The 13,344-nt window shown below is 40.1% G+C and overlaps 1 protein-coding gene across 6 annotated transcripts in view; it reads right to left on the bottom strand.

Annotated features, from left to right (window-relative positions):
* Positions 1-13,344, bottom strand: part of PRIM2 (DNA primase subunit 2) — a 425,311-nt gene that overhangs the window by 47,482 nt on the left and 364,485 nt on the right. The window contains exon 11 of one of the 6 annotated variants that reach the window (XM_047418990.1): positions 11,951-12,373. The exons of the other annotated variants lie outside the window; for them this stretch is intronic. Coding sequence (XP_047274946.1) covers positions 12,353-12,373 — 21 coding nt within the window. The 3' untranslated portion in view covers positions 11,951-12,352. Of the gene's footprint in view, positions 1-11,950; positions 12,374-13,344 lie in introns of those variants that run through there. 6 annotated transcript variants of the gene reach the window in all.

Raw genomic sequence — 13,344 nt, 5'->3', positions numbered from 1 at the left:
TAAATATCTTGTTATTTCTTATTACTAAGGAAGTGTGGTATTATGGAAAGAATGTGGGCTATATTCAATTCACTTCTGACACTAACTGGAGCTCGTGCAGATCTCTCATGGATTAAGAGCTCAGGCCGGGCGCGGTGGCTCACGCCTGTAATCCCAGCACTTTGGGAGGCCGAGGCGGGCGGATCACGAGGTCAGGAGATCGAGACCATCCTGGCTAACACGGTGAAACCCCGTCTCTACTAAAAATACAAAAAATTAGCCGGGTGTGGTAGCGGGTGCCTGTAGTCCCAGCTACTCGGGAGGCTGAGGCAGGAGAATGGCGTGAACCCGGGAGGCGGAGCTTGCAGTGAGCCGAGATCGCGCCACTGCACTCCAGCCTGGGCGACAGAGCGAGACTCCGTCTCAAAAAAAAAAAAAAAAAAAAAAAAGAGCTCAGTCACACAAGACTGTGCCCTACTTCATATACCAATTGCAAGCAGTAGGTTCCCAGGTCACCACAACTTCTGACCAGTTTGGCCACAAGTGGGAGGTTACCACAACCCCCTTCTCAGGTTCAGTAATGTGCTAGAGCAGCTCATAGAACTCCTGGGCTCAAGTGATCTTCCCACCTCAGCCTCCTGGGTGACTAGGACTACAGGTGTGTGTCACCAGACAAGGTCTTGCTATGTTGCCCAGGCTGGTCTCAAACTCCTGGGCTCAAGCAATCCTCCCACCTTGGCCTCCTAAAGCCCTGGGATTGCAGATGTGAGCCACTATGCCGGGCCCTTGGTTGATGATTTTCTAATTCCACTACTAGGTGACACTCATCTGGCATAACAACCCACACCCCATTGGTCAACCAAAAGCAGACAATGTACCTTTGACAAGATATCTGGCAAGAGCAAATATTCAATACTGGTGGAATCTTGGACAAAAATCTAACTTTCCTGGGAAAGAGGTAGGGGTTAGGGTGGGTGTCCCATGTTAAGTGGTCATTTGGGCAAAAACTAAAACCAAGTTTCTAAAATGAATTTTAGAGTATGGCAAATGACTGATTTAGTCAAAAATTTATCTTCTACTCTGAAAAAAATATGTTTGTTTAAAAGACAAACGTTGCCACTTTTATACTAGAGCACAATCTTAAACTACCACTCGGTGATCTCTCAAGGCTGGCACAAACAGAATTATCAGAAGCTGTGAGTGGCTGTGGAGCACATCAAATGTTCCTACACGATACTTTAAGCAACACTTGTTAAATAGTGAGAAGCCAGATTGCCCAAATAACAAGTCATTTTCAAAGGGCAAAATCTTCAAGGTTCTCACTCTAATAACTAGAGTGAAATGGCTATAAAGAGCTTATAGTTTTTACTCCTATGATTCTTTAACTTATAAAATGGATACTGTAGAAAGCTTAGAGAATGATTACTTGGCAATTTTTCATACATGAAATTAAAGTATCATGTAGATAGAAATAAAAATAAAACAGATTATTTTGAGTTTATAAATAATTATACATATTGGCAATGAACTGAAACTTAAATACAAAAGGTGGGCAGGCCATATTTTGGAAAACAGGTAAATCCCCCCTCTTTTAAGTGACCGCAAGACACTTCAGAGTTGCCCTTGGCTTGCTTTCTCTGGGCTCATACTAAGAGCAACACACACAGAGTAGGCTTTTTAAAGATCCCAGGCTTTGGAGGCAGAGAAACCTGGGAAAGAATCCCCAGCTTGTCCATTTATAAAGGATATTACTTCAATCCTCAATTATCCTAATCTATAGGGACAGTAATATTAATGCATTAAATTGCTATGGGGATTATATTAAATTAAATTAAAACATTAAGCAGAGTACCTGTCACATCCTTTGTTCTCAATAAATATTAGCTGCTATTGGTGAGGGAAAAAATGGAAAATATTTGGTGTCCTAGTTTAAACACTGACTATGCTACTGCAAAAGACTTCTATTTCAGTAGATACTAACAGAACCTTTACCTAAAGGTTTAAGGAGGATAAAAGACTCACTAAACTATTCAATTACATTTCTAGTCATCTTCTTAAAATGTCCCCCTTCTTCCAACTCCTATCCACAACTCTAACTATTCATACAAACTGGCTCAAATGTCACTTCCTCTGTGGAATCTTCCCAAGCACCCAAGGCAGAAGACATTGCTTCCTCAAAAGAACGCACAGCAGCAGTTTGTACGGTGCTGTACCTTTCTTGTTGCAATGGAATTTATTTTTGTATTTATCACTTCTAAACTAGGAATGCTGTTAAGGGCAGGGACTTGGTTGCGTACTCATCGTAGCATGCCTACTCAGTATCTGATAAAACATCTACTCATAGGAGGTGCTCAATAACCTTCACTTGAATGAAAGAGCAAATAAGCGGTAGCTGTTTGGAAAGATGAATGTATAAATATGCTTCAAGGGATTTTAACTTATCAGGATTAAATAACTTCAAAAACTTGCCAAATCATTGTAAGTTTACACGGCTGTGCTATTTTGTTCTTCTGGATAGCTTTTCTTCTTCACTGTAACAACAACAACAAAGACTGAGAAAGAGTTTAAATGATGCCCTATATAGAGTATAGTGGATACATTAAAAGATAATAAAAGTAATAAATTTTATTTTCTTTCAAAAATTGCCTCAGTATAGTGGGACTGGGCTGTCCAATACTTTAAGAGAATAAGAAAGAGAGACAGAATAAGAGATAGGAAAATACCTTGCTATTTTTTGTGTGAGATTTTTTAATTTGAGGTTATAATTTAAATATAGTGAAATGCAGATATCTTAAGTCTATAGTTTGATCAGTTTGGGTAAGTGACTATACCTATATAACCCACACCCCTACCAGAAGATAGAACATTTCTATCAACCTGTAGAATTCCCTCTTGCTTCTTCTCAGTCAACATTCCCCTCCCTCCACAACCAGAAGCAACTACTGATCCGATTTTTGTTACCACAGATTAGTTTTAACTATTCTATAACTTTATATCAATGGAATCATACAGTATAAAGTATTTTGTGTCTGGCTTCTTTCATGTCCTTTAATGCTTCTGAGATTTATCCTTGCCATTACATGTATCAGCAATTTGTTCTTTTTTATTGCCGAGCAGTGTTCTACTGTATGGATATACCAGATTGCTTGTCTAGGCTCTTGCTGATGGGCACCTGGATGTGATATTGTGATACAATAAGAAATGTGTATTTGATCCCTGACCCTGGTTCCTCGCAGAGAGTTCTCAAAACTCTTGTAATTTCCTGAGCAAGAGGGATGCTAGGTGCATCTTCTGTTCTAATATTTGGTCTGTGGCCCCAGTTTCTAACAGAGTTGCTAATCCCTTGGAACTCCCTGGGCATTGATAAGAATGTCTTTTGTTCTAATGAGGTGACTCTTGGTGGGCTCCTAGATGGGGGCTGGTCACCAGAAAGACCAAGCCATAATTAGAAGCCTGGAACTTTCAGCCACACTATGCCATCCTCCAGGAAAAGGAGGGGGCTGAAAAATGAGTTAATAAATGCTCAGCCTATATGATGAAGGCTCCATAAAAATCCCTAAACTACAGGGTTTAGAAAGCATCTGGGATGCTGAAGACATGGAGATGATAGGAGGGTGGAACACCCAGAGAGGGCATGGAAGGTCCATGCCGCTTCCTACATATCTTACCCAGAGTACTTCTTTGGCTGTTCACCTGTATCCCTTAAAACATCCTTTATAATAAACTGATAAATATAAGTGTTTCCCTGAGTTCTATGAGCTGCTCTAGCACATTACTGAACCTGAGAAGGGGGTTGTGGTAACCTCCCACTTGTGGCCAAACTGGTCAGAAGTTGTGGTGACCTGGGAACCTACTGCTTGCAATTGGTATATGAAGTAGGGCACAGTCTTGTGAGACTGAGCTCTTAATCCATGAGAGATCTGCACGAGCTCTAGTTAGTGTCAGAAGTGAATTGAATATAGGCTATCCGGCTAGCATCAGAGAATTGGTCAGTGTGAGAAAAATCCACACATCTGGTCGCTATACTCTCTGTGTTGAGAGTACAGTAGGAGAAAATTGGTTTTTTCCTACCATACACACTGGGTTTTTACAGTTTTTGGCTATTCTCAATCAAGTGGCCATGAACATTCTTACATATGACTTTTGTAGGTATATATTTTCATTTCTCTGGGATAAATACATAGAAGTGGAATTGCTGCCAAACATTTTCCAGAGTAGTTGTACTATTTTATACCCCCACCAGCAATCACTAACAGTTCCACATTCTCCCCAACATTTGGTATGATCAATATTGCTAATTTTAGCCATTCTGGTGGGTAGCCAATGGTATCTCACTTTGCATTTCCCTGATGACTAATGATCATGAGCACTTTTTCATGTGCTTTTTGACCAGTGATATTCCTTATTTTATGAAATGTCTGTTCAAATCTTTTGCCCATTTAAAAATGCTGATTGCCTTCTTTTAATTATTCCATAATTGAATAATTCTTTATATATTCTGGACACAAGCCTTTTGTCAAATGTAATTGTAACAAAGGCTTATCAACTTGATGTTATCTTCTGATGAGCAGGTGTTTTTATTTTTGATGAAGTCCAATTTATCAACTTTTTAATGGTAGTGCTCTCTGTGTCCTAAGATAAATTGCAAAGATATTTTTATGTTGTCCTTTAGAAATTGTAATGTTTTAGCTTTTAAGTCTAGGTCCTGATTCATCTCAAGTTAATTTTTGTCTGTGGTGTAAGGTAGGAATCAAAGTTCTTTTTTATTCTGCATGTGGAAAAACACCTTTCTGAACACCATATGTTGAAGACACTTTCTTTTTCCCATTAAATCACTTCAGCATCCTCATCAAATTTGACCACATATGTGTAGGTCTATATTTGGAACTGGATCTGACTGGATCAGATCCAACTGGACCCCACTGATCTATATGTCTGTCCTTTTGCCAATAACACAGTCTTGATTACAATAGCTTTAGAGTAACTTTCAAAGGTAAGTGAGTCCTACTTTGTTCATTTTCAAGATTATTTTGGCTATTCTACGTCCTTGCATTTCCATATAAATTTTAGAATTGGCTTGCCGATTTCTTTTAAAAAGAGAATGCTGAAATTTTTAACAATCAGTAGTTTATGTCTTCACAACTGCTATCTGTCCACAAGTAACCAATAACCAGAAAAACAAATAGCATTTCAAAGAAAAGAAAACTTTCAAGAAAGAAGAAAGACTTTCAAGTCATCATTAATTTCACTGGTGAAAACAAAGACATTAAAATTTCCACCAAACATTTTATAAACAACTTCTGTTTGTTTCTTTAGTCACAAACATGAACTATAATCTTTTTTGTGAAAACTTTTAGGTAAGAATTGAATTTAATTAGATACAAGATTTCAGTTACGTTCATCACAAAATAGGGAAAGAACATATTGGTAAGCTATTCTGTTAAAATAATGGAAAGCTAATCTCTCTAAAAGAGAAAAGCTAAAAGTATTAACTTCCCTCTTCTTTCCAATTCATTTACTGCCTTTGTATACATGTCTAAAATTTGGACTCTTCCAAGCCTACTGGAAACAAGAAAAAAATAAAAATAAATGAAACTTGGATCTTACTAAGCTTTCAAACTATCCATGTATTTACCAAACAAATTGTCATCTCTGGTTTTCAAATTTACAAATTCAACAAATATTGTACAGAGACTGTATTTACTTGGAGATATTTTTTAGCAAATACTTTCTAGGTCTTCATATCCACGACTCAAAGGAAAACCTCTAAGCATTGGGTATGAAAAGAGGTAGGAAGGCCGGGCACGGTGGCTCACGCCAGTACTTTGGGAGGCCGAGGCGGATGGATCACTTGAGGTCAGGAGTTCGAGACCAGCCTGGCCAACATGGTGAAACCCCATCTCTACTAATAATACAAAAATTAGCTGGGTGTGGTGGTGCATGCCTGTAATCCCAGCTACTCAGGAGGCTAAGGCAAGAGAGTCACTTGAACCCGGGAGGCAGAGGTTGCAGTGAGCCAAGATTGCGCCATTGCACTCCAGCCTGGGTGACAAAAGCGAAACTCCCATCTCAAAAAAAAAAAAGAGGTAGGAAGAAGTAAATAGAAAACATATGTTTCTGTCTAGGCTCTTCCCTCCCACTCCATTCATTCAGTGTGGGGAAAGGCCAGAAAGTCAAGACAGGTCTGAAGGTGGGTACGTGGCAGTTTGCAACCTTCCAAATTAGTCCAGACATCCCAGCTGTGGCACTGGCAATATACCAATATGCATTTCTATTAAAGACAGCAGTAAGTTACTTTCAGAGGCATTATGTTAAATGATGAACTCAAGAAAAACTGTAAAGCAGGCACACCTTTATCCAGTTCCAACCCTGTTCTCAGAGCCTCTTTCACAACTTTGTCTTCTATCCCAAGCCCACCCAGGGTCTAGTGACCTTATTATATTTTTTAAAGTATTTATGCCCAAATCTATTCAAACACTATGGTATAAACATCTCTTTGCTGACATGGACAGTGCATTGCACGGTCTTCCTTAGAATAAAGTCTTTCCTACAAGGAAAAAAACACAAGACTAAATATTACTCCTATTTTTTTTTTTTTTGAGACAGAGTCTTACTCTGTCACCCAAGCTGGAGTGCAGTGGTGTGATCTTGGTTCACTGAGACCTCCGCCTCCCAGGTTCAAGCCATTCTCCTGCCTCAGCCTCCTGAGTAGCTGGGATTACAAGTGCCCTCCACCAGCCCAGCTAGTTTTTGTATTTTTAGTAGAGACCATGTTGCATGTTGGCCAGGCTGGTCTCGAACTCTTAACCTCAGGTGATCCACCCACCTCAGCCTCCCAAAGTGCTGAGATTACAGGCGTGAGCCATCACGCCTGGCCTACTACTCCTATTTTCAAAGCAACAAAACCTTCATTATGCAAGGTCGGCTTGAACAATAAAGTGAGAATGGTTAAAAAGTATCCTTTAGAGAGAGATTTGTATTCAAAAAGGAACATCTTCTTGACCTAAATGAGGCAAAAGAGCCATGTATATGTGCACAGAAATCAGCATAAGGATATGGCATTTAAAAATTTTTAATTTTTAAATTTATTACACATGCAGGTTTGTTATACCGTTATATTGTGTGAAGCTGTTAGGGCTTTTAATGATCCCATCACCCAAGTAGTGAACAAAGTACCCAATAGGTAATTTTTCAACCCTTCTTCTTTTCCCTCTTTCCTGGCTCTAGGTCCTCAGTGTCTATTATTCCCATATTTATGTCCATGCGTACCCAATGTTTAGCTCCCACTTATAAGTGAGAACATGCAGTATTTGATTTTCTGTTCCTGTGTTAATTCACTTAGGTTAATGACCTCCAGCTGCATCCATGCTGATGCAAAGGACATGATTTTGTTCTTTTTATGGCTGTGTAGTATTCCTTGTTGTATATGTACCATATTTTCTTTATCTAATTCACGTTTGATGGGTACCTGGGTTGATTTCATATCTTTGCTATTGTGAGGAGTGCTGTGATAAACATAAAAGTACAGGTGTCTTTTTGGTAGAACAATTTATTTTCCTTTGGGTATATACGTAGTAATGGGATTCCTGGGTGGAATGGTAATTCTATTTTAGTTTGAGAAATCTCCAAACGGGGGATTTCCTCAGGGGCTGAACTGATTTGCATTCTCGCCAGTAGTGTGTAAGGATTCCCTTTTCTCCACGATCTCGCCATCACCCATTAATTTTTTGCTTTTTAATAACAGCCAGATACAACATTTCTTCAGGAGGACATTTTAACCTTCTTTTTAGTGGCAGGTGTTTCTTACCTTCAAGAACTTGGAACTCTAATTTACATATTAAAAGAAACAAAGTGAGAGTCTGCTAAACTACAAAGTGACCTCATTATTACTCACCAGTGCCCAGAATTTAGGATACCAAAATCATTAGAAGTAGGTCCCATGAAGATTAGTTATCATAAGTACTAACAGAAACTCAAGCTCAGCATCAGGGTCACACATATAAGTGAATCTGCCAGGAGGAAAAGGTCAGGAAACCACCTTATGGCCTTTTCTTAGCACATATTCTTGCGATAATTTTTTGACCTATTGATTATGTTGTCTTGAGTCACTACCTTAAAGTCTAATGTATAATTTTAATAACCAGAGTGATGTTGTAGGCATTTAATATATGGTGCCCCCTTTTAAATTCTTATGTAACTAAATTACTCAATTACTATCTATTAAACTAAATTTGTAATCAGTCACCTATAGATCCAAATACTTCCCTTTAACTCTTAACTTCAAACACAGTTTAACTCTTAGAGATCATTAGAACATCACACATATTCTAACCAAACAACACACCAAAGGAGATGTGGAGGCCCCAAGGAGTCCAGGAGGCAGTAAATACTAATGGTTGAAGTCAGATACTCAAGTTTAAATATTGTCTCTACTACATGCTAGCTGTGTGACCTTGGACAGTTTACTTAACTTCTTTGCAACAATTCTCTTTTATGTAAAAAAGGAGTTATATCTATCACATAGGGTTGACTTGGGGATTAAGTTAGCTCATTTTCACAAAGTACTTGGTATAGCGTCCTGCACACAGTGATAAAATGCTCTCCTTGACCAAACTTTAGTCAGGCTCTTCTGAATCCTCATCTCAACTAGGCCTAGAGCTTTGGATTTCTGTATTCCTCTTTACATCACCCAGTTGTAACAGGAATCTTACAAAGTCAGTTGAGAAAGAACCCCCCAGATATTGAGATCACCCTCAATATCTGATCAAATTCCTCACTGCCACCCTTGGTATCTTATCACCCTGGCCAACCTGCAGCAAGGATCCTGTTAGTTCTGTTTAACCAGAATCCCCTTACCCGTGACGTTTATTTCCTCTTAGTAATTTTTCATCCACTGACCCCCATCCCTGCTCTCTTGTCCATGCTATTTGGAATTAGGAATCCCCACTTGCGCATGCTCTCTATATGGAATTAAGCCCAGTTCTATACTGGAATCCCTTCTTCTATTGCAGCTTTTCCTGAATAAAATCTGTTTTTACCATTTTAACTACTATCTCTTATTTTTCTTTAACAGTTTTTGGTCCATGATTTAGATCTGGATCTGAACCACCATTAGACTCTTGGACACAATAACCAATCTCTAAGCACACACCAAGACTTTGTCTTCAGTCTGCTTGCTTTTTGGGTATCTGGTGGTGAGTGATTCCAATATCCAGTGCTCCAGATAAATGTCCATCGAATCACAGTGAGGACAGATTTTGATGAAGATTCTGATTACATTGTCTGAAGCTGGATTAGAGGCCCAGACTTCTTTGTTTGAAAGGCATCTACTCAGCTAGAAGTCTTTCTTTCTGGGGCTCACTGCGTCAAGAAGACATTTACTCCCTGACTCCTGAGCCTGGCTCTTGGCTGGAAAATTCTTCCTGGATCTTTGTCTCCTGGGATGAAGACTTCTCCTGGCTCTTTGTTTCCAGTGGGGATCCACTCCCCAATGCCTGGGCTGGAATTTTTTCCCTGCTCTTTATGAGGCCTCTCTCTTCTGTCTGTTTAATCCTGCTTCTCCCATGGGAACTTCTCAATTGAAACCTCACCTTATCAAACTCCTGCTTTGCCGCTATAGTTCTAATACTGTCTGCTTGCTTTCTCACTGGCAAAGCCTTACCAAAAACTCTCTTCGGCTATGGTGGGGGCTCCTGGTATATCCCTAAATTAGTCCATCTAAAAACAGCCCTAGAGCAAAAAGGAACAAAGCTTTTGGATGCACAGCGGTCTGCTTATTTCACTTGGTATTAAGAAGCCAAAAAACAGCTAAATAATTCAAATCTCAGTCAAACTACTGAGGCTCTTTCACACTGTCTGTAGAAAAATTTTTCTGACTCAGTAAAGTTCCTAGAGCTCTCAACAGCACCTCCATATTCCCCTCCCAGCTTTCCTTTATAGCCTCCTCTCCCAAACTCTCTTCCACCATCTGCCCCCTCCTCCAGTCCCTCACCTCCCTGTAACCAAAAGGTTCACTGGCCTCCATCTCCTTCAGATGAAGCCCAGGATCAGCCAGTACCTGTTGCCAAGTGAGGCTAATAGAAGAGAGAACATTTAAACCTTGGTCTAGGCCTGAATTGCATCCTATCACCAAATACTTTCCTGACCACAGAAAGGAAAGGGAAAGGTTTGTTGAACAATTTAGAATCATTCTAGGTGCATACTCTCTGGGATTCCCTGATTTAAATCAACTTATCTGCCTGTTGGTTGGGCCTGGAAATGCCTCCCTTTGCTTTGAAAAAACTAAATGGACCACTATTTCTGATGAATCTCAGTTCCTTCCTTGGGTGCACTCAAGGGTCTCAGGCTACCCCTGATATCCCAAGGGAAGTAAGAAATTACTAGGAGCCATCCATCAAATCTCTCCCATTAAAATTGATTGGTCACATATCTAACATTGTAAATAACAAACTGATGAAACTGTGGCTATCACCATCAATTAAAGACAACATGGAAAGAGAATTCAGGGGTGGAACTGACTTTCCAAACAGCCTCTGCTCAGGCCATGCAATCTTTGTCAATAGTTTCAGGCCAGACCTCCAAGACACATTACAGAAAAATAATATTAATTAACAAAATGTATACACGTCTAGGCTCCAGACATTAGCCCAATAATATGAAAATAGTATTTCAAAAACATTGGAAAATACACAATGTAAGCTTGTGGCACTGCAGTTAAAACAACTGGAAAAACCTGAAATTTTTAACTCACAGCAAGCTCCACAATGGAAGGCTCCCATTGATCTCAACAATGTGCTGATATCATGAGGAAAAAAGACACTGGGCCTGGAATTGCCCAGTGCTCAAGAGGAGGGAAAAACCCAAGTCCCCCTCCTCACCAGAGAATTGTCTATTTTCCTCCAGAGAAGCAAATGTCCCAATGCCCTCAACTACTACTAAACTTGCATGAAGAAATAATGCTACAAGTTAAAGGGTCTCCACGTCTCTCATCGATACCAGGACAACACAATCTACCCTCAACATGACCTCACTTCCTGCCCCCTTCCCCACAGTCACCAAACTTTACCAGTGGTGGGGTTTGATGCTTTGCCCCCAGCTCATCCTCATATCTCTATGGGACCTCTTAAAGGTCAACATAATTTTCTACTCAGCTCCACTACCCCAGTAAACTTGTGTGGAAAGTATCTTCCCATGAATGGAGGTACAAAAATTCCTGCTGGACTGCTTCTACCCACCCCTGAGTCTTCCTCTTCATGTCTATGTCCCCTAATGGTTTTGTCTGACTTCCCCCAAGCAGGGAGTTCCTTTGCCCACTTCAACCTATCCACTTAAATAAAGATTTAAGCAAACTATTAAAATTATCTAAGGTATATGCGATACAGAACCCATATAAGGTAGAAACAGATCCTTCCAAGCCTCTCCCCAGGATTCCCCAATATCATTTAAAACCACAAGGACTAGCGATTGCTCTCCCTGATAATGAGAGGCTTATTAGACATGAGTCCCCACTTCTAATCCGTGCATTACTTCCATTTGGCTATTAAAAAGTCAAGTGGGAAAGGATATCAGTTCCTTCCTAGGATCTATCAATTACACTGTCAAATCAAGATTTCCCTTGGTGCCTAATCCTAACACTATCCTATCTGTTATCTCTTCCAACATGCAATATTTCATGGTGATTCATTTGTGTTCTGCCTTTTTTTTTTTTTTTTTTTTTTTTTTTTTTGAGACAGAGTCTCACTCTTGTTGCCCAGGCTGGAGTACAGTGGCTTGATCTCAGCTCACTGAAAGCTCTGCCTCCCGAGTTCACGCCTTTCTCCTACCTCAGCCTCCCAAGTAGCTGTGACTACAGGCATCCGCCACCACGCCCAGCTAATTTTTTGTATTTTTAGTAGAGATGGGGTTTCACCATGTTAGCCAAGATGGTCTCGATCTCCTGACCTTGTGATCAGCCTGCCTCGGCCTCCCAAAGTGCTGAAATTACAGGCATGAGCCACCGCTCTCGGCTGTGTTCTGCCTTTTATAATATTCCCCTTCATAAAGAATCTCACTACTTTGCCTTCACCTGGGAAAATAAACAATACACCTGGACTGTTATGCCCCAACGATTTACTAAGGCCCTACATATTTCTCATGAACCTATATGATGGACTTAAAATTCCCAGAAGACTCCACTGTAATCCAATATGTAAATGACCTCTTTCTATGCACTTTCATTTATGACAACTCCCTTTAGGACACTGAATACTTTAAGGCAATGGCAAGAAAAGACCACAAAGTTTCTAGACGAAAAGTTTAATTATTCTGTGTGTTCAATATCTGGGTCATGGTATTTCAGCTGCAGGTAAAATTATCTTCACAGGCGGAGCTTCTACTATTCATCATTTTCCTCTTCCTGAAACAAAATAACAGAGGTTTTTGGATCTTGTGGGCTATTGTAGGATGTGGATACCTAATTTCTCATAGACTGATGATTGCCTTTAAGGTTCACAGCCTTCACTATGACTTTTCCTCATCTGAGATTAGTCTTCTCTTACATTTTTCTGTCCCTAAATTTAGGAGCTCCTTGTTCTCCCCCAGCTCTGCCTTTTCCTTATCTGTTAGCAAGACTATTCATCCACAGAGCCTTTGGCAAGCCTGGGCTGGACTAGTCACCACTTCCCATAACGCCACAGACTGAGGGTACTGTGCTTCCTTTCCTGTGCGCACACCTGGCATTTCCAAGATTCCTGTGAGAAATCAGAATTCCTATTTTGCTATACCTTCCCTCTCTTTTCTTCCACCATTTTAAACCAGACAAATACCCATTGTGAGAAAAACCTCTGAATATACTCCAGTCTATCCTTGCAAGGGTCATGTCCACTCCCATCATAATTTTACCATCAATTGTTTTCTGGGAACAAGTATTTGTCATTACACTTCTCCAGCCATCATTAAATGTAACATAATGCCTCCAAGCCACTACAGGTTCCTGGACATCTCTCATACGAATGGAAATGTCCCCACTTCCCCTCTCAGCCTAATTTCTCTCACCCAACCCAACCACACACAGACCACCTCCAAAAAATCCTTTCTCAATCATCGAAATGTTTATTCTTTGGTCACCTTCAGCCATCAGATAATTATCTTATGACTCCAGGCTAGCGCTCAATGATTCTTATTCAGTCTATGGAACTCAAACCTATTAGCTGTTACCAGCCAACTGGAATGGATCTCGCTACCTCTCTAATCTTACTAATCCCTTCATCTACTTGATTCCCCACAATTTCTCTCCTTTTTTAAAGTTATCTCTAAAACAATCACCCACTCCCTCCAGTTGACCTCACTCTCACTATGAGAGCAAAAGAGGTATCCAGAACATCATAG

This window comes from Homo sapiens, chromosome 6 (assembly GCF_000001405.40).
Source record: "Homo sapiens chromosome 6, GRCh38.p14 Primary Assembly".
NCBI classification, from domain to species: domain Eukaryota; kingdom Metazoa; phylum Chordata; class Mammalia; order Primates; family Hominidae; genus Homo; species Homo sapiens.
Note: the sequence above shows the minus strand (reverse complement) of the source record. Positions and strands in the feature narration are given on the sequence as shown.